Source organism: Homo sapiens, chromosome 2 (genome assembly GCF_000001405.40).
Source record: "Homo sapiens chromosome 2, GRCh38.p14 Primary Assembly".
Classification (NCBI taxonomy): Eukaryota; Metazoa; Chordata; class Mammalia; order Primates; family Hominidae; genus Homo; species Homo sapiens.
In genome coordinates this window covers 227,110,946-227,133,078 of record NC_000002.12, presented here as the reverse complement: position 1 = coordinate 227,133,078, position 22,133 = coordinate 227,110,946, and the positions used below count along the sequence as shown (strand labels likewise).

Sequence of the window (22,133 nt, the reverse complement as noted above, 5' to 3'; positions counted from 1 at the left end):
TTGTTATTGGCAAGAAATAAGGGCTAGCGATACAGGTGCACTCAAAAGCAGGGCACAGTTTGGGGGAAATAATCTACTATATAGGAAAATAGAAAGCACTTAGTATAAGAATACCTCTTTAGTACAAATGTAACGTCTGACTAATTAGCTAAGATGAGGAATTATAATGGTTTTAGGAAATAAAAGCAAATTTCTCCTTTCAAACAACCATATTCAATAATTTGCCAAGAAATCCACAAACAGCTGTCTCCAAGGTGCTTATTTCTCTATAACACAATCTTTTTTTTGTTTATTTTTTATTTTTTAGACAGAGTCTTGCTCTGTTGCCAGGCTGGAGTGCAGTGGTGCAATCTTGGCTCACTGCAACTTCCACCTCCTGTGTTCAAGCGATTCTCCTGCCTCAGCCTCCCAAGTAGCTGGGATTACAGGCACACACCACCATGCCCGGCTAATTTTTGTATTTTTAGTAGAGCCGGGATTTCACCATGTTGACTAGGCTGGTCTTGAATTCCTGGCCTCAAGAGATCTGCCCATCTCGGCCTCCCAAAGTGCTGGGATTACAGGCAAGAGCCACTGCACTCGTCCTCTATCATACAATCTTAATGGCAACGAATAATAATACCAATAATAATAGCTTTCCATTCATTCGGCAAGTAACCATTGAGCACTTGCCACATGCCAGGCATCCAACCAGGCCATGGAGGCCTCAGTCGTAAAGAAGAAAGTCCCTGCAGCCTGGAGCTCAGAGCCAAACCGAGAGACAGACAAGACTCCCCTCCGGCCACTATTTCTGGCTGCCTGAGGAGCGCCAGGCACTGTTTGAGGTGCTCAAGTCACATCAGGGAAAAGATGAGACAAAAATCCTTGCTCCCTCCCCAGGTGGACAATTTGGTGCCCTGGCTTGCTTTGCATGGGAGCATATCGGGGTCAGGGCACAGGGAGCTGTGGGTTAGCACTTGAGCTTGAACCGGGTGGAATTAGAACTCTCCTAGCCACAGTCTGAAGGAGAAGCCTTCTGTCAGTTTCTATGGCTGTGTAACAAATGACCATATACATGGTGGCTTAATACAACAGAAATGTATTCTCTAGAGGCCAGAAGTCCAAAAGCAAGCTGCTGGCACTGCCAGGCTCCCTCCACGGCTCTGGGGGAGAACCTGCTCCTTGCCTCCTTCCACTCCTTCTGGTGTCAGCAGTCCTTGGCATTCCTTGGTTCCTAGCGGCCTCACTTCAGTCTGTGCCTCTGTCTTCACATCGCCTGCTCCTCTATGTGTCCACATCAATCTCCCTCTGCGTCCTCCTTATAAAGGTGCATGTAGTAGCATTTAGGGCCCACCTAAATCACCCAGGAGAAACTCTTCAGCTCAAGAACCTTCACTTTATCAGGTCTTTTGCCGTCTAAGGCAATAGTCACAGGCTCTGGGCTTAAGACATGTCGTATCTTTTTTTGTGGCGCCATTCAGCTCCCTACAAGTGTTCAGACAAGGGGAACAGCCTCCGCTTGAGCCCTGAAGTGGGAAGGAGACAGGCTAGCATGTTTGAGGGACTGAAACGTGACTAGAGAGAAATTTGACCACAGTGGGTAAGGAACCCGGCAGCATGCAATGCAGCTTAAAAAGCAGACAGGGGCAGGGTAGGTTGGCTCATGCCTGTAATCCCAGCACTTTGGGAGGCCAAGGTGGGTGGATCATGAGGTCAGGAGTTCAACATCAGCCTGGCTAACATGGCGAAAACCTGTCTCTACTAAAAAAATACAAAAATTAGCTGGGCATGGTGGTGGGTGCCTGTAATACCAGCTACTGGGGAGGCTGAGGCAGAGAATTGCTTGAACCTGGGAGGCAGAGGCTGCAGTGGGCCGAGATCGTGCCACTGCACTCCAGCCTGGGCGACAGAGTGAGACTCCATCTTAAAAAAAAAAGAAAGAAAGAAAAAAAAAAAAAAGCAGACAGATTTTCCTGCATAATAAGAAATTTTTGAAAGATTTTAAGAAGGGAAGAAGCAGATTGGATTTATGTTATAAGATGATCTGGTGCTGTTTGGAAAATGTGGCTGGTGGCAGGTAGGTAATGTTAGGGAAAACCTGTTATGAGGCTGCTGCAGTCATGCAGGTGGGAAGTCTTGGTGGCTTAGCGAGGGGGTGAGTGTGGAGGGTAGGGAAGTGGATGGGAGGTGGACATATTTGGGAGGCAGACTTGATAGGAATGAGGAGACTCACCTGGCGCAGTTGGGGCAGGCAGTTAGAGGCATGCGGGCCTCCCAGGAGAGGTGTAAGCTGCTGTGCAGACAGTGGTGCCCGCTCAGGAAGCACGTTTCAGGGGCGATCATGAGTCCAGGTTTGGACTTGCAGCGCTTGTGGTCAGTTGGATATGTGACTGGCACTCAGAAAGAAAGGTCTGGGTTAGGGAGGGACACGGAGGGATTGTCTGTGGGTGAAATTGACCACTTGGAAATGGATGCTTTGGCTGGAGAGAAAGTGACAAGAAGCCAGGGCAGCCCTGAAGAGCTCTGGGGGAGACTCCAAACAGGAGGAAGAGGGGGCCACAAGACACAGGTGGGAGCAAATCAAGGCAAGGCCAAGGGGCAGGGATGCTGGAGAACAGGGCAGGCAAGAAGGAGGGAGAGTTGAGTGGGTTAGAGCTAGTCAGGGAGCTTACCAGGAGCCCTTAGCCTTGTTTAGGCCCCGCAGAAGACGCAGATGCCATGTTTTAAAATGGGAAAACCCTTCTCCAATGGCCTGGAGTAAGGGGTGACCTTGTTGTTCAGTGGCAAAGCCATGTCTCCTGGTTCTCAGTGCAGGGTTCTTCCCACTGCACCATGCTGCCTCTTAAGAACACAGTGAAAATCTCGAATGAGTGTTACTCCAGGCTAAATCCCTCAGTTGCCCCTATTTCATTGTGAACAAGTGCGGTTACTTTAAGGTACAAGAAAACACTCTGCCACTGAAGTCCAGTCTCTGGATTGTCTACTGTTGATAACACCTTTTGTTATTTATTTTGATAACTCTTCCTGGCACCTAACGGGCCTTTTTCCTGCAATAGGGGAGGCTCCTGGAGGCACTGCCAAAGGATTCGTGAGTGATGTTGTAGTGTCACCCAGTGGCTGACTGGTTGAATTACAATCAAGCCTTAAAAAGGAGGGAAGCATTAGAAAAGAAAGGAATGATAATAATAATGGATTAAGAATAATGAGACTCATAAAAAGGATGAATATATTTAAAAGAATATTTATTTGTTCATTTTAATTGTGGAAGTTTTAATTGATCATGTAATCCATGAGTATATGTTTAGAATTTATACTGTGCAAGACAGTGGTCAAGATGCTGAGGTGGAAATAAAAACGTTCATGAATCCCTGGCTGCAAAAAGTGTACCAGAGGCCAGGCGCAGTGGCTCATGCCTGTAATCCTGGCACTTTGGGAGGCCGAGGGGGGCGGATCACTTGAGGTCGGGAGTTCGAGACCAGCCTGGCCAACATGGCAAAACGCCATCTCTGCTAAAAATACAAAAATTAGCCAGGCGTGGTGGTGGCCGCCTGTAATCCCAGCTACTTGGGAGGCTGAGGCAGGAGAATTGCTTGAACTGGGAGGCAGAGGTTGCAGTGAGCTGAGATTGCACCACTGTACTCCAGCCTGGGTGACAGAGTGAGACTCTGTCTCAAAAAAAAAAAAAAAAGTATACTAGAAGACATCACCCCAAGCAGATATTAAGCAAAGTAGCATGCACAAGGCAATAATGAAAAATAGGTGATGACGTTATTTAGTCATTAATTATTTTAGGGTAGATGTGGTAGTTTGGAGGGGAGTGAAATTGATGAGGACTGCAGTTAAATGGAAGCAGAAACCTTGAAGTCAGAACTGAACAGCCTCAGGTCCTTTGTCTCATGTCTTTGAGTCTCAGCTTCCTCCTTTGGGAATGAGGTCGTAGATACAGGGATGACTTTCTGCTTTACAGGGTGGTAAGGATTCCATGAGAAGAATGTATTAACACACTGTTGTGTTGTGTCTAGATTTGTACATGGTGGCAGTTATTACTGCTACTGTTATGATTATAATATTTTTGGAGGGATGGCAGAATTTGAGCTACAGGTAAAGAAAGGCTACTCTGACCTCATGGAAACAAGTGTGATTGGGGCAGAGGGTGGGGGTGTGGAAACTGCAGGGAATAAGGTTGGCGGGTGTGCGGAAAGGAGATTGTCCCCATTGCAGGTGTTGGTGAAAGCAATGACACCAGGAAAGGGGTGACTGAAGAAGATTCATTGACGGTTGCATGGGGCAGTGGGGAGAAGATCAGGGTTAAGGAGACGCGAGAGATTGGTGCTTGTGGAACCCGTGCGAGAGTTGACAAGACCATGGGCCAGGTGCTTGGCAGTGGGAGGAAGGTAAGATGGGAGCATGAGATTTGGGTTTTGGTTCAAATCGAGATGTGATTGACTTGGTCATGAGAAGGACATGGAGAATGAGGGAAAGAGGGTGACAAGGCTGGCAGCTGGATGGCGAGCTTAGATGATGCCAGGAACAGAGTTACTCTCTTCAGTGACAGGGAAGGAGGAGGCAGAGGGCTGAGCTCAGCTTTGACCCAATGTGTGAGATGAATTAACAGGGGAAGAGGATGCAAGAAAGTTTCTAGAAAACAGTTGGGGATATAGGATAGGACCAGAAAGTTAAATTTGAGAACCACAAAAAATAGAGGTATTCAATTAATTCAATTAATAACATTGTGTCCTAAAGAAACTTTATAAAAGAACATTGAGTGTATCTGGATAGACTGTTTTTAAGTGTAAAAATAAGAAGAGGCTTGAAGGGATTGAAACGTCACTCCGGGCATGGCATGAGCGTGATTTAGTGGATGAACCCTCCATTGTGCTAGGCTCAGGCTCAGGTAGGGGGAAGAGGAGAGGTTTAGGTGAGAGACTGACTGGTCCAGGTGTGAATCTGAGCTTGCTAGGTGTGAGAGCCTGAATAAGTTACACCTTCCTTCATCTATATGGGGATCATAGCCTACACTATTCAGTGTTGCTGGTTGCATTAAATAAGGTAAGGTATGGAGCATGGCAGCCACATAATCCATAACCAAGCCTAATAAATACATTCCTTCCCCTTCCTGTGACATTTTTTATGATAAATGTCATGGTCTTAAGAGTTCAAGGGTGATTTGGAAAATCTGTATAATTAGTATAACAAAAGCATCTTTCCTGTTTGTTCAGTTTTTCATTTATTTATACCTTGCACTGATTTATACCTTGCATTTATTTATACCTTCTGGCTAAGAAAGAGCAGGAAGTCATGGCAGAAAAAGTGTGGCTGTACCTGTATTTGTAGTTGTTTATTTGTAGTGTTTCTCCTAGTGCTCCTACTGACAAAATGACAAACGATTTCTTAGATTTTTGTCATTCCCCATATGTTTTGGTCCCTGGGGCAACCAGATCATTGCCAGCCAAAAAGGCTGACTTGAAGATTTTGGTTTTTAAAAAGTACAGTACATACCCTCTTATCTTTTGGTCTCTTTTACTAAGTTGTTATGAAATAAAAGTAATTTTATCTTAGCCCTGTTCAAGAGACATTCTAGACTTAGGCAACCGACAAGGGACAAAATCCTAAAGGAATGCCCTGGCTTCAGAAGACAGGGAGGCCGGCGGTTCTGTGTCTGCTCTCATCTCCTTCATCCTTTATTTGTACAGCTGGCCCGAGAGCCTACTGCTGCTCTAGGGAGGCGCAAATAACAGGTTTGATGATACGGTGTCAATTTGGCCTTTGAACCAAAAGAAAGAAAGAAAGAGATGATCTAGTGGCTTCACATGGCATGCCAAAGTCTCCTCAGCTGTCAAGCTGATTGTCATTTCTGGATTCAGCGGCTCTGTCTTCTGACTTCGAAGCTGCAGAGGCAGTTGCATGCGCACGTAGCCAAAAAAACCCAGGGGTGCTGTGCATCTGAAAGCCAGTCATTCCACTGGGTGGTTTTTCTCTTTTTGCTAGACTGACTCTGGCACAGCAACTTGTTTTATAGCAGGTTATTGTTGGTGGTGGAGAGTGCAGGGTTAGGACTGGGTGAAATATTTCTTTAAAGACTTTTTTTAGTGATGCAAAATTCCTGTGATTATTTAATGATTCTCTAGTTATAAAAATGTCTTTTATGGGCCTGCTACTTATGTCTATTTGTCCTGAAGTGAATTCTATTATAACCTTATGAAAAAGTAAGCCTACATATTTACCTGTAAGCACAAGTTCTTTTACTGACCCATTCTTTTACATGAAACAATTTAAAGAAAATAGAATTATTCTCTGTATGCTGTGAATAAATTATTTACTCAAATTAGGTGAACTAACAAATGACTATTTCAAAGATTGGTGTTTGGGAAATTTTGGTGAGCAGCTTTCTGACAGATTTTGTGCTGTTATTTGAGGTTTAATGTATTTCCTTTAAAAATTTATCATGTAGCAAAATACTTATTAAAATACAAAAAAACCGCACTAAATACAAAATCACAAAGTCTTCACAGTTGTAAAAAAGGAGAAATTTATGTTAGTTTTTCCACTTGCAAAGTAGGGGTAGTGTTTGCCATTGCATATGGTTGAAATAAAGGCATAACAACACCTACATTATAGCTCAACAGCAAAAAACACCAACATCTCTGTTATTCAGAGTCATTGCTCATGGTGTGAAGTTGTACTCTGCACAGTTTGCTGTGGAATCATTGCCATTTTGCATAATTACTGTTAACCAACGTTCTAGGAATGACAATTCAGAGACATAAGACAGCATTTACACTTATCTCTTTGCATCCATGAGGAATTGGTTCCAGTTCCCCTCTGGATACCAAAATCCATGGATACTCACGTCCCTGATACGAAATTGCATAGTATCTGCATATAACCTATGCACATCCTCCCAAATACTACAAATCATTTCTAGGTTATTTAGAATTCTATGTAAATGCTATATACAGTATACAGTTGTTATACTGTATTTTAAAATTTTTAATTTTTGTTGTATTGTTCTTTTCTGTTTATTGATTTTCGAATATTTTCCATCTGGATCGGTTGAGTCCTCAGAACGGGAGCCAGGGATATGGAGGGCCGCCTGTCTTGCCTTGGGGTAGAAGTGGGCTACCTTATTATTTTATAAAGAGTTTGTTGTTCTCTGCCTTTCTTACCATCATGACCTTGGGCACTTAGACTCGGCCTTCCCCTCCAGGAGCAGAGGTTGGGTGGCTGTGGGCTTGGGAGGGACAGACAAGTGAAGAGGGTATGATAGTCACGGGTGAGAGTGTTACTGCAGAGGCACCTTGGAGAGGCATCTCCTTCTCCAGAACAGGGGCAGGAGATCAGGGGAATCTTTCCACTGCAGCCTTGAGAGATGAATCAGCCAGAGGCAGAGAGGGGGCGCTCCCGGGACAGGACAGCCTGCGCAAATGCTGTGAAAGAACAGAGCTTGTCTAGAAATCTGGTGCAGGGAGGTCAGGGTGGCAGGCTGGGAGGAGGGAGGAGATGGTGAGAGAGAGGAGTTAGCATCCTTCAATAATGCAAATAACCATTCCCTGCTTTACTTTTTTTTTTTCCTCCCGAAGTATTTTATATGGGCAGGGTGCAGTGGCTCACACCTGTAATCCCAGCACTTTGGGAGGCCAAGGCAGGAGGATCACTTGAGGTCAGGAGTTCGAGATCAGCCTGGCCAACACAGTGAAACCCAGTCTCTACTAAAAATACAAAATTTAGACGGGTGTGATGGCGCGCGCCTGTGGTCCCAGCTACGGGGGGAGGCTGAGGCAGTAGAATCGCTTGAATCTGGGAGGCAGAGGTTGCAGTGAGCTGAGATCACACCACTGCACTCCAGCCTGGGAGAAAGAGCGAGACTCCATCTCAAGAAAAAAAACAAAAAAAAAATAAAGTATTTTATATGGCATTTTCTCAAATCAGCACACGTTTCTATACTAAATGGAGTTTTATTATTCTTAACTGTTGTGTTAAATATTTCCACGCCTTTTTTCCCCTCTGCAAACTTCCCATTAGCTCACTGGATTTGGTATTGCATGCCTAAAATGAAACACATTAAAGAGATTTATAGTCAGTTAATTGGCTCTCTCTTTTTCAGTTACCCTTTTATATTCAAGCATGCATTTTAGTATGTATCTAAATAATACATTACTGTAAAGTACTGCATTCACAAAAGATAATTTGGGGAAGTTTATGTATAAACTGCATGCAAGATGAAAAGATAATTCCCAAACTTAATGAAAAAGTATTTATTTCCTGAATTTTATATGTAGAAAACATGGGAGCTTTTAGATTATGTTAATTAATCTTATTTCTAACACAGGTTAGACAGAAAGGTGCTCTGAAGTCATTGTTTGTTTTTACTTTTAGATCGTAGTTTAGAATTTGTGCAGTCACCTATTGTAAGTTGATAAACCCTCACAATACCCCAAATGGTTTGTGCTCACGTAATTACACTTTGTATTTTATTGTTGTCTTTTTCATAATACATATTTATGTATTTAAGTTTCCTTTAAAATTCTAAGCTTTTAGCATTTATATGGATACTCAATAAATAGTAGCTATTTAACAATGATGAATGAGCATGAAGAAAAGGGAAAATGCCTATAAAATATAGTTTTGATTTGTAAAATTTAGGCAGATGTTAAAGGTTGTCAATCATGTTTGTCGAGTTAATGACTTAATGGTGAGCAAGAAGTGGTAACTAATCTTTATTATAAAATCACTTCTGCTGATGGTAAGATGTACACAAAGTATGAGGTTGGTGAAGAAGTAATTGCGGTCTTTGCCATTGCTTTTAAAAGGCAAAAACCACAATTACTTTTGCACCAACCTCATAGAATGTAAAATTGCCCTGGCTTGTGTTTTCACTTATGAGACATGCAGTTTCTTTTATGTCCTAGAAATGTTCATTTATAAACATCTATTTAGGGAAAGTGTCTGTTCTTTTGTTTCTCTACTGGTGGGATTATATGACATACTATTCTGTGGCTTGTTTTTCTCCTTTAACAATTATCCATTTATAATAATAATATATAATAACAATAGTTAGCATTTGTTATGCCAGGCACTATGCTAAACACCATTACATGCATTATTCTTTTTATGCTCATAAGCCATTGACAGATAAAGATGCCAAGGAACAGAGAGGTTAAGAAACATACCCAAGGTCACACAGCAAGTCAGTGTGGTCCTGGGCTTCAAACCCAGGAGGCTGACGCATAGCCTGGGTGCTCACTCTGTTTCTCCCTCATGAGCTTGGGGAGGATGTTCTATGTCGGCCTGAACAGATGGACTTTGCTGGCAGCTTGCACGTGCTTTTGGGGTCCCACACGTCTTCCTCAGACCTGTTGTTTCTGTGCTCAGGCTCTGGGGGACTTCAGCTGCTGGCATCTGTGTCTGTCAGGGCTTTATCCAAAGCCCCGGAGGCACAGTTGGCAGGCACTCCATACCCATCACCAGGGCCCTCAGCCAAGGAGATAAATACCCCCACTCCCTTCCCCTAGGGCGGGATAACACTGAGATGTGGGCTCCCCTCAGGGTTAAGTCCCAGGTGCCCACAGTATAACTGACCTGAAACTGCCCCTTTCTTGGCTGCCTTCACTTCCGTGGGTCGCGCTCTGTTCCTGACCTGCACCTCCTTCACTTCTCAAATGGAGAAGTTGGTCTCATTGACTTCTCATCCTCTGTGTTGCTCCTGGAGCACCCTGATGAAGTCAGGCTGTGAGGGCTTTCCTGTTTGAAGGCACCCTAATTTATTCACTGAGTCTCAGGTTGGTGCCTTTCCCGTGGATTTCCGGTTTCTCTTGCTATTGCATATAACACTGTGGTGAATGTTCTTGCACTATTTTTACGGGGCTCCTGCCCCATCTCCCTCCTGGTGTCTGGGCCTGGCCAAGGCCAGCAGCACTATCTAAAGTGACATCCCACCTGGGCATGGTGGCTTACACCTGTAATTCCAGCACTTTGGGAAGCTGAAGGCAAGCGGATCACCTGAGGTCAGGAGTTCGAGACCAGCCTGGCCAACATACTGAAACCCAGTCTCTACTAAAAATACAAAAATTAGCCAGGTGTGGTGGCATGCAACTGTAATCCCAGCTACTTGGGAGGCTGAGGTGGGAGGATCACTTGAACTCGGGAGGTGGAGGCTGCAGTGAGCCGCGATCACACCACTGCACTCCAGCCTGGGAAACAGAGTGAGACCCTGTCTCAAAAAAAAATAATAATAATAAATAAAAATAAACAAAGTGACACCCCAAGTGTGGATCAGGACCAGGTGGGTCTTAGTTACTGTTTCTTCTCGTCAAGGTGCTCTCTGACCTTCTACCCAATGTGGGGTTGACCACATGAGGAGCTCTGGCCTTCATGCTATGCGATTGTCTGGGGCCCTTTGGTTGAGCCCTGGTTTTGGAGGGTGGCTGCCTAGCAGAACACTTCCATTTGCCCATGAAGTATTTCCTTGATGGGACTGCACAACATTGGGTTGCCAGAGTAGGGCTGGCATGCTGATTTCGGGTGACTCCAGTTTTTATATAGATGCGACTCTGCAAGAAATATTTTGCTCAGGGCCCTGCATTCCCAAGGGGCAACCCTGTATTAGCCCTGGAGACCTAAGACATCTGATCTGAGCAGATATCTCCTAAACCCTGCCAAGCTTTTCTGTCCATACATCAAGACTTACTTGCTTATTTAATGCAGTCATCCATGCTGTTTTGTGAAGCAAGAAGTTATAAAATAATTTTTCTTAAATCTTTGCAAAAATTTTGAGAGGTATGAAATATTGCAAGTCGAACTCTTGACCTCAGGTGATCTGCCCGCCTCGGCCTCCCAGAGTGCTGGGATTACAGGTGTGAGCCACTGCACCTGGTCGGGATATCGCTTTAGATGGTGCTGCTGGCCTTGGCCAGGCCCAGACCCCAGAAGGGAGATGGGGCAGGGCCCTGAGACATGGGTTCTGAGGTAGGAGCCCCATAAAGCTTCTTCACTTAAAACAAGAGGTGGCCTTTTCATTCATGGAAAGTTGGATTACATAAATTTAATGTGACATGGAGACTAATTCCAAAATATGACTAAGAAATTAGATAAAAGCAGCCAAAAAAGAAATGTTGTCCTTCGAAAGGGCAGGCAAATCATTAGTTATTTGAAGTAAATAAAAGATCTGGCAGTTTCCCTTACTCTATTTGTGTCACGAACATAAAGGTAAATAAAACTTTGATTTTTTAGTTTCTTGCTTCATTAAAAAGCCCAAGATCTCTAAATTTGATTGACAGAATGAAAATAGTAAGATAACTATAATCACTTGATATATGTGTTTCTGTGCACACACATACATACATACTGCACACATACATACATATACACATGTGCAGTAATTGAAATTTATCATATAGCTTAATTCAGATTAAAAAGGGCAATGCCACTATTTCTTATGTTTTAAGTCAATCATTTTCTTTTCTTGTCTTGTTTTTCCTTTCATTTCCTTTTCCTTTTATCTTTTCTTGTCTTTCTTTTCTTTTCTTTTTTTTTTTTTTTGAGATAGGGTCTGTCTCTGTCACCCAGGCTGTAGTGCAGTGGTGCGATCAGCTCACTGCAACCTCGGCTTCCTAGGCTCAAGTGATTCTCCACCTCAGCCTCCCGAATAGCTGGGACTACAGGCCCACGCCACCATGCCCAGCTAATTTTTATATTTTCTGTAGAGATGGGGGGTCTCACTTTGTTGCCCACGCTGGTCTTGAATTCCTGAGCTCGAGTGAACCTCGTTGTCTCGGCCTCCCAAAGTGCTGGGATTACAGGTGTGAGCCACCATCTCCAGCCATTTGTTTCTATTATTAGAGTTGTGCAAATCTAATTTCCAAGTCTTCTGTAGGCCTGAATGAGTATATGTTTGTGTTAGAAGACAGTAATTAAGAATTGCACCCCCATTTCTTTTTAATCTTCCTTCTCAGGGTCCACCAGGACCACCAGGGCCACAGGGTCCAATTGGACCCCTGGGAGCCCCAGGACCCATTGGGCTTTCAGGAGAGAAAGGAATGAGAGGGGACCGCGGCCCTCCTGGAGCAGCAGGGGACAAAGGAGATAAGGTAAGCCACATCTTATGTGGAGATTCACATGAAAGACTCACCAGCACTACTGCACCATTTTTTGTTTTTGTTTTTTTTAGACAGTCTTACTCTGTCACTCAGGCTAGAATGCAGTGGTGGGATCTCAGCTCACTGCAGCCTTCGCCTCCCAGGTTCAAGCGAGCCTCCCACCTCAGCCTCCCAAGTAGCTGGGATTACAGGCACATACCACCATGTCCAGCTAATTTTTGTATTTTTTAGTAGAGATGGGGTTTCACCATATTGGCCAGGCTGGTCTCGAACTCCTGACCTCAAGTGATCTGCCTGCCTCGGCCTCCCAAAATGCTGTAATTACAGGCGTTGGCCACTGTGCCTGGCCAGCACTGGAGTTTTATAACCACGAGTAGTATATACTTGAACCTTATAATAAATGAAGTCCCTGAACTCCTCTGCAATAATTCATCCTCATTTTTGGCCCCTTTCCAGAGGAGCATGCTCTTCTGGACCTTTAAATACATGTGTGTACCCAGTGAGAAGTTATATTGTTTCATGGCTTTTTAAAAAACCTACATGACATTAATTATATGCATCACACTGAGTTTTCTCTTTTCACTCAACAATATGTCTTAGAGACCATTCCTTATCAGGCTATGTAGATTGAACTTATTCCTGAAAAAACATTGTATAATATGCCATAGTATGAATAAAACTATAGTTTATTCCCTGTTGATGAGCACTTGAGATTCTACCCCAACTTTGGGTAGTGCAGATGTGCAAAAATAATCCTATCAATTGCCTGTGTTCACAGTTAAGGGTTTGTTACTCTAGGATCGAGATTCGGAGTGTTAGATTTCTGTTCACAGCATGTTGAATGATTTACTTAAATCAGTACTGCTAGGCTGTTTTCCCAAGTACAAAAGAAAAGCACAAGAATTGGTTCTTAAATGTTGGCTTTTAGACTCATCATGTAAAAAATAGGTGACAATGACTGCTCAGCATGTTTAAAGATGAGTAATTAATTGTTACTATTTTCAAGTAAATCAGCTTATTAATTTAATAATTTTTATCTCTTTGTTTTATTTTCTGGGATTTTAGGGTCCAACTGGTGTTCCTGGATTTCCAGGTTTAGATGGCATACCTGTAAGTATCCCTAAATTTTCTCCACTTTTTTCAAAAAGGCAGAAGTACTCATCAAAATCCTTAAAACCACATGTATATATACATAAAATATATATTTATAGAAACCACAATATATATATTATATATAGCAAATATTTGCTATATATACCACAAGCAACGTAATATATATATATCTTTCACCATAATATATATCTACATATATAAAAGATATATATTAGATATACAAGATATAGAATACATTAGGTTGGTGCAAAAGTAATTGCGGTTTTTGCTGTTACTTTCAATCCCCCACAATTACTTTTGCACCAAATATATTGTATATATAAGATATGTATAGTATGTATACTATACAATATGTATCTTATATTTTACATATATAAAATCTATAGTATATACGATATATAGCTATCTTACATATATTTTATATAGTATCTTATATCTTACATATAGTTTATATATCATAATATCTGTTAATTATATATTGTATAACATGTATAAAATATGGTGCAAGATATATATATGTTATGGTGCATGGTATATATTATACATAGCAAACTCTTTTTATATTTTCTCATTTTAGTGCATGAAAGGGTGTTTACATTTAAATTTTGTACAATAACTCCCAGAGCAAAACACTTTACTTGGAAAGCAACGTTTTCTAACAGGTTAGAGAAAAAATTCCAAAATATGAGCTAGGTATACTTGTTATGTCAAGTACAATGTTCTTGAAATTAATGCATACTCATAAGGAATGTTTTTATTTGCTGATGAGTCCTAATATTTGTAGTGAGCTTAATACTCCCATTTCTCATATGAAAATGGAATGGAAAAAAAAAAAGAGGTATGTGGGGGCTTTATAATTCATTATAGTATTTCTAAGGATTTTAAGGAAGGTCCCCTCCTCAATTTCCCAGAGTACTGCAAACTAAATTAGTTTAAATTTGTTATCTTAAAAAAAATTTAGGTTTTATTTTTACATGCTACGTAGCCTTTTGGGGTAAAGAGAAAGTTTCACAAAACTAAACAGTAAATGTGTGAATCACAATTGCCATAATTTGAGTATTCATATTGCATAACCTTTATGTAATGATATTTTCGCAAAAATGCTTCACTTATAATTTTGTTTTCTGCAGGGGCACCCAGGGCCTCCTGGACCCAGAGGCAAACCTGGTATGAGTGGCCACAATGGCTCAAGAGGTGACCCAGGGTTTCCAGGAGGAAGAGGAGCTCTTGGCCCAGGAGGCCCCCTAGTAAGATACCCACAGTTCATCTTAACAGGAATCTTAAGTGAACAGGCCCTGTGGTGGAACAGGCTTGATGTATTCAAGAAACAGAGTTAATACAAGTGTGCCTGGAGCATTGTCAACAAATGGGAGTGGCTGGGGGATAAGGACAGAGAGATAGGCAGGACTTAGAACATGCAGGACTTTGTGGATGATGGAAGGAGGCTAGATTTTCTTATCCATGTTAGGTAAAGGCACTGGATGGTTTTAAGGAAGGAAGCAACATGATCTGATTGATGTTTCATTAAGATGTCTCTGGCTGCTGTGAAGAGAATAGATAGTAGGGAAAAAAGAGCAGAGAGACCAGGTAGCAAAATGTAAATTGTTTATCATTCAGGGTTAATTGCAGAAACAAACCCCACTAGGTATTTTGAACAGAAAGGGATCTGCTACAGGGATTCTGGCACTTATTATAATAGTTGGAAGAGTAAAACTTAGGACCACACGAGACCACTGATTTCAAAGGTTCACAGCTAGCTGAGATCCGGAGTCAGGAAGCTGTAACTGCACTGTAACCACTGCCTGTCACCCCACGTCTAGACACTAGCAAACAGAACACTCAAGTTTCTGCTTTCCTGCTTGGCAGCAACAACAGACCAGGAAGAGAATCTCTTCCAAACTTCTGCCTTCCACATCTCCTAGGTGGAACCTAATTCACATCCAGCTATAAAGGAGTCTGGGCAATGTAGTTTTTATCTTTCTAGCCCCTGTAATGCAAAAAAATATATTAGAAAAGATTTGGAATGGATGTCCAGCAACAGTTGATAGTATCCAGCACTTGGGGGAAAACTTACGGCTCTTAGCTTTTTTTTTCTTCAGAATTTTGGACTTTCATTTAAACATAACTGGAGCAAGAGCTACCCCCCATATTCCCTTTCTTTCTCTCTTTTTCTTTTTCTCACTTAAATAAAGATCAGAGATTATTTGACCTTTCCAAATTGTTTTTCTGTGATTTTTTTTTTTTTAGCATTTCTCCCTTCCTTAATAAAATATCATTTCACAAGTTTCTTTCTAGAAAGTTTTCTTAGCATGACCACCATAATCATTCATTCTGCTGTCACTCACGAGTCTTCCTTTTGCTCCAGATTCTAGAGGAACTGATCTGAACACTAAACTCAAAAAGAATTTTCCATACTCACATTTTTCTTCTGGTATCAAATAAGAACATCCACCACCTTTCATTGTTAAGTTTTTCAACCATCCTTTACTTTCAAACTCAGCCATTTGAAAACTCAAGTGCAGTCTGGTGAATGCACATTTATTAAGCTCCTCAAATCAGGCCAAACCTCATTCTACAGATTCATGAGCATTCAAGAGAGCAAGGGTTCTCAGTTTTAACTTTAACATAGCATGCAGTACCAGCCACAATCCTGAAGTTTGTCATAATGGTCTCTTTGCAAAGCAACCAACTTCCCCTTGACTCATTTACTATACAGACACCCCTCACTTTGCACAGTAAAGTAAGAATGACCAGGCAAGCTAAAAACCACGCAAAGAAACCTTATCAACTGATGAGAAAATTAATATTGTCCCATGACTTTTAAAATGTTTTGTTAAAACATTAGAAACTTTGCCAGTTATATAAGGAAATGAAAAAACTAAATATTTCTTTAATATACTGTAATTTGAAGCATTGAGAACCAAAGTGTTTTATTTCTTTGTAAAAACTTATCAAGAGTAGTTTCAACAGTACTTGCCTTTTTCTCATCATGTAACTTGTGATACTAAAGGAATATGTCTTTTATGTTTTGAGGAAGTATGATACTCCTAAGTTCGGATCTGTTTCCAGTGTTGTGAAATATCTCTCAGGGTTCCTTTAATGTGAAGTTTTCATCTGTGTCACTTTACCTAGGACGCTGTCATCCTTTTCATCACAACCACTTTCCTGGTTTCTCTTTACTAAGTTCCTCTGGCTGCAAATAGTCTCTCAAATGACAACAATCTCATTATTCCCATGATCAGCTATTGCTTCTATAACTCCACTTATGTTTTATTTGAATTTCATTTCCAGCATTACCATTTTCATTTCTTTGCTTCATTTTCATCATTATTGGCCGATTTCCTCTTCCAACTATCCATTTTTGTAAAATGTTATTTGGGTTTATTGCTGGGAGATAAGGAGGCAAGCCAGCTACAAACTTTGCTGTCTGTGTCTGTGTGTGTGCTCTGAATAATACGTGTGCAGGGGCCAATCACAGACAGACTTTGACAGAAATCATTGAAACTGACCCATTAGTCCCAGAGATGTTCTTTGGATCAACATAGAAATGGATCCTTCTGATCTTAAAGTTTGAAACCTATGTGTTTTATCTGAGTTCCTTCCTCAGGAGAGGACCCCCAGGCCTCTCAAGAAGTATCAAAGAACTGAAACACACCAGATCATGGCATCCAGACAATGAGATGCCAGACCCCTGATTTTGTTTCCTTACCTAGGTCCTGTTTTCCAATACATTGTTACGTTTCTTCCCTGCTATGTGAACCCCTAATTTTAGTCAGTCCAGGAGATGGATTTGAGACTGATCTCCCAACTCCTCAGCTGCAGCACCTAATTAAAGCCTTCTTCCTTGGCAGTAGTCGTCCTCTCAGTCATTGACTTTCTTTGCAACATGTTTTGGTAACATCACGTGATCATGCAGTAATCACAATTCACATCTGTTATTTATATAGCGATTTGTGGGCTGAGAGGATAGCAATGAAGTTTGTACGTTATGCAAGTACTCAATACACAATGGTGACTGAAATTTGAACCATGTTGTTGGAGAACTGGTGTTATTTAACTTAACTATGAAACTGAAATTCATTCAGACTGGAACTGTGCAAAGCCAAAACTGCAGATACTACCAAACCTGATTTCTCAAGTAAATTGTTGATGCAATTTAACCTTATGCTGTTAAATATCTCCCATCAGAAGCCAAGTCAAGCACTCCTCTAAGAGAGATTAACTTTGAAATGTATATATCTTTCATATGAGCTTGATATATAAAGATGGTAGGATTTTTATGTGGTAACCAAGAGAAGATATATTAAGAATTGAAGTAGGGGCCGGGCACAGTGGCTCATGCCTGTAATCCCAGCACTTTGGGAGGCCGAGGCGGGTGGATCACGAGGTCAGGAGATTGAGACCATCCTGGCTAACATGGTGAAACCCCGTCTCTACTAAAAAATACAAAAAAATTAGCCAGGCACGGTGGTGGGTGCCTGTAGTCCCAGCTACTTGGGAGGCTGAGGCAGGAGAATGGCAGGAACCCGGGAGGCAGAGTTTGCAGTGAGCAGAGATCGCGCCACTGCACTCCAGCCTGGTAGACAGAGCGAGACTCTGTCTCAAAAAAAAAAAAAAAAAAAGAATTAAAGTAGGATATTAAGATATTAAGTAGGAAAACCTTGGGGAGGGGAAGAATACACTGAGGTTATTTCATTCACTTTTAAAAAATATCCTAAGCAAACTAGCAACTATATACAAAAACCTTCTGAAAGGAACATGTTATGTTTTTAAAAATAATTCTTAGGCCTATTTTGAATACAAGTACTGAAATGGATAAAATCTCTCTCTCTATATATATATATACGTTTTACTGTTTCTAGGGCATAAATTAACAATTGCAAAATTAGTTATTTGTAGGAACAATGCATGTGTTTTATATTGTAAGGAAATATGAAAATTTTCTGCTAAATAGCTATATATGAGTAGATATTCTGTCTTAGAAGATTCCTTAACAGATCTTAACTGAATATGGAGTAAATATATGTGAGAACCTTAGGGTGATAATAATATGGAAGAGGATACAGAAATGTCTTCTTGTTAATCATGTCAATAATGGTAATTTTAACTGATGAGTTATATTTTATATAGAAAAGAAAATACTGAAATGGTAATATGCTATTTTCCTGTTAAGTACATACATATTTTATTTTCAGGGCCATCCTGGGGAAAAGGGAGAAAAAGGAAATTCAGTGTTCATTTTAGGTGCCGTTAAAGGTATTCAGGTAAGTATTATGATCATGATGGGTTAAAAAATTTTTTCTTCCAAATAGGTAAGCCCATGCAGGAAATACTCAGACAGGATTTTTCTTCAAAATGTCCCTGAATACACCAATTTTTATCATTACCCTGACCCTCAGGGATGGCATCATGCTTTTGTGTGAAGGCAGTGGCTTTAGTCGCCAGTAAAATTCCAGCACTGTAAAATTCCATTACTTCTGAACTAGTCAGAACTGCAAGGGATGTATTTATTTCAAGGTTTCTCAACTCCTGACATTGTGGGCCACATATTCATTTGGTGTGGGGCTGACTTGTGCATTATAGGATGTTGAGCAGAATCCCTGGCCTCTGGCCTCTACTCATTAGACGCCAATAGCATCCCCCACCTCTGAACTCCCCAAAGCGTATATCCAGACATTACCAAATGTCCCCTGGGGGGAAATCACCCCAGTGGAGGACCACTGATTTATTTGTAATTAAAACATTGTAATATTAGTACTTGCCATCCAGTACAGTAAAAGTCACCATTATTGAACTTGAAAATGATGTAAACCTTATAGCACTTTGCTTGATACATTTAATGGTGTTGTGTTTTCAGCAGGGAGTGATGTCCAAATGTTCAGAAATAAACTCTTGAGTGACCACCTCATCTCTCAGATGAGAAGCCATGGATGAGTGATGGGGATCAGTGGAAATGATGCATTAACAGGAAAATACAGCCCATGTTCAAGATGTGTGGTCATTTCTCTTAAGGAAGAATATTCTGCAGCAATTAGATAGAACTAGTCCTAGATTGCTTCTATGAGACCCTAGGTTCTGTGCCACGCAGAATGGACACACCTGAGCAGTGATCCCTTTAGTAAGCTCACTGTTTATGTGTGTAGCCTCTGTGCCTATTTGTCCTTCTTAAACAGCAAGAACGATGGATTTGTTTATAGCTTAAATGATATATTAATAAACTAAACGTCAACAGCAGGGTCATTCTAGGAACCAGGATGGTGTATTGGAAGGAGAGAACTGAGGCTTACTCTCCACTGTGACTTTAAGCAACTCCCTTAACCTCCTCAGCCTCATGTTCGTTATTTGTGAAAGAAGATTAAAATAATATTTACCCTGCCCCTTTCTTAGTGTTGTTAAGACTGTTATAATAATTTATATTGCAGCACATTGTAAATGGTAATGTCCCATATTAGTTATAGTGAGCATTTTTTTGTAATTGTGGTAATAGAGGACATGTGACATACAAATATAGAAGGGGGATGAATATAGAGAATTCCTTATCTTAAGGGGAAACAGAAGATCCCTAATAAAAATGACCTGTAGATCAATAACCTTTGAGAGACAATGCTCTTAAGAGTCTATATCCACTTTATACTCATTCTAATGGCTATGATAAAAAAAACAAATCTAGCAATTGTTGGCAACTACATGGAGAGTTGGAGCCTTATGCATTACGGGTGGGAATGGACAATGGTGCAACCCCTGTGGAAAATAATATGGTAATTCCTCAGTAAATTAAACATAGAATTACTATATGATCCAGCAATTCCACTTCTGGATATATACCCCAAAGAACTGAAAGCAAGGACTTGAATGGATATTTGTACATGCATGTTCATAGCAGCTTTATTCACAGTAGCCAAAAGGTGGAAGTAATCGTGTCCATCAACAGATGAATGGATAAACAAAATGTGGTATATTCATCCAAAGGAAGACTGTAAAAGCTTTAAAAAGGAAAGATATTCTGACACATACAACAACATGGATGAACCTTGAAGATATAATATTATGCTAAGTGAAATAAACCAGTCAAATATCATATGATTTCACTTATATAGAAAAATAGTCAAATTCATACAGATGGAAAATAGAAGGGTGGTTGCCAGTGGCTGCAGGGAAGAGGGATGGGGAGTTAGTGTTTAATGAGAACAGAGTTTCCACTGGAGGAGACATAAGAGTTTTGGAGATGGATGGTGGTCATGGGTGAATAACAATGTGAATGTACTTAATGCCACTTAAGTGGCATTAAGTGAACTACCTGTACACTTAAAAATGGTTGAAATGGGCCAGGCGTGGTGGCTCACGCCTGTAATCCCAGCACTTTGGAAGGCCAAGGCGGGTGGATTACCTGAGGTCAGGAGTTCGAGACCAGCCTGGCCAACATGGTGAAACCCCGTCTACTAAAAATACAAAAAAATTAGCTGGGCATGGTGGCGCATGCCTGTAATCCCAGCTATTTGGGAGGCTGAGGCAGGAGAATTGCTTGAATCCAGGAGGTGGAGGTTGCAGTGAAGGGAGATGGCGCCACTGCACTCCAGCCTGGGTGACAAGAGCGAGACTCCATCTCAAAAAAAAAAAAAGGTTGAAATGTCATATTTTAACTTACATATATTTTACATTTTAAAAAAAGAGGCTTCATTCAAGAGAATATATAGCCTTTGATCTTTTAAAGTAGGTTGAGTCTCAGCACAGAGTCACAAGGCGATAGAAGTAGACAGAGGCTGGTGTGAGGCAATTTCCACCTGAGTTTCTTTTCTGTCCACTCTAGGGTAGTCAAGGGGGTCAAGATGTTTATAAAGCATAGCAAGGTGTGGAAAGACACCAGCAACAGGTAAACTGTGAGGAAACGGGACCACTGGATTGAGAATTTAGAACAATTTAAACAAAGAAAAAATCTCATTTTGATTCCATGTCATTACTTCAGCGACCTTTCTCTGTTGGGTAGAAGGAGAATTCAGAGCTTAAGGAGAAGGAAAATCACCTCCGCATATCCCTTCCTCAATTTTAGTCAACACCAAAAAAATTGAACAAACTGCAGTTAGATGAGTCCAGATAATTTTGTGTATATTTCTATTTTTACATAATCTCTGTTTTAGGAACATTGTGTGGACTTAAAGCAATGCATTCTTATTTTTGCAGGGAGACAGAGGGGACCCAGGACTGCCTGGCTTACCAGTAAGTCTCCTGAGCAGGCTCTATGCTTCTATTTCCTCCTCAAATAGCCTATGATCCACGTTTTAATCCCAGCAAAGCCAGCTACATAATTTGTGCGGCTCACCTAGTGCAAAATGAAAATGTGGGTTCCCTGTTCAAAAATTATTAAGCATTTCAAGATGGCGACCACAGAACATGAAGCATGGGGCCCTGTGTAACTGCACCAGTCTCATGCCCATGAAGCTGTACTTGAAGCTCATCAAGCTCCCTCCTGCCTTCCTCTTCTGTCTTCTAATGATCTCGTGACATTACTCAGGTATATGCAGCCACTTAATATTTAGGAAAGTGAGTCCACTTAGCAACTACATGTATAATATATACCAGCTAGAATAATCTTGCATTGCTTCTCGCTACCATTTTGCCTGGTGAATCAGTATTTGTATATTATATTTAATATTTTGCCCATCTTCATCTCTCTGATGTTTCTGATGTGAGAAAGTTTCACAAAACTAAACAGTAAATGTGTGAATCACAAATGCCACAATTTGAGTATTCATAGTGCATAATCTTTGTGTTATGATATTTTTGCAAAAATGCTTCACTTATAATTTTGTTTTCTGTAGGGGCACCGAGGGCCGCCCAGACCAGCAATTCAATGATTATATTAGTCTTTCCAGTTTTTCGATGTTTACAAGACTAAAATTGAGAGCAGTTTTGCCGGCCAGGCGTGGTGGCTCATGCCTGTAATCCCAG

At 41.1% G+C, this 22,133-nt stretch overlaps 1 protein-coding gene across 28 annotated transcripts in view; it reads left to right on the top strand.

Annotated features, from left to right (window-relative positions):
- COL4A4 (collagen type IV alpha 4 chain) overlaps positions 1-22,133 on the top strand; it is a 197,129-nt gene that overhangs the window by 31,410 nt on the left and 143,586 nt on the right. For all 28 annotated transcript variants that reach the window (XR_922837.3, XR_001738602.2, XR_007069255.1 and 25 more), the window contains exons 5-9: positions 11,931-12,065; positions 13,140-13,184; positions 14,318-14,434; positions 18,383-18,451; positions 21,366-21,401. Coding sequence is in view for 25 of the 28 variants with exons in the window: in XM_011510565.3 (XP_011508867.1) it covers positions 11,931-12,065; positions 13,140-13,184; positions 14,318-14,434; positions 18,383-18,451; positions 21,366-21,401 (402 nt within the window). In the remaining 3 variants the exon portion in view is untranslated. The remainder of the gene's footprint in view (positions 1-11,930; positions 12,066-13,139; positions 13,185-14,317; positions 14,435-18,382; positions 18,452-21,365; positions 21,402-22,133) is intronic.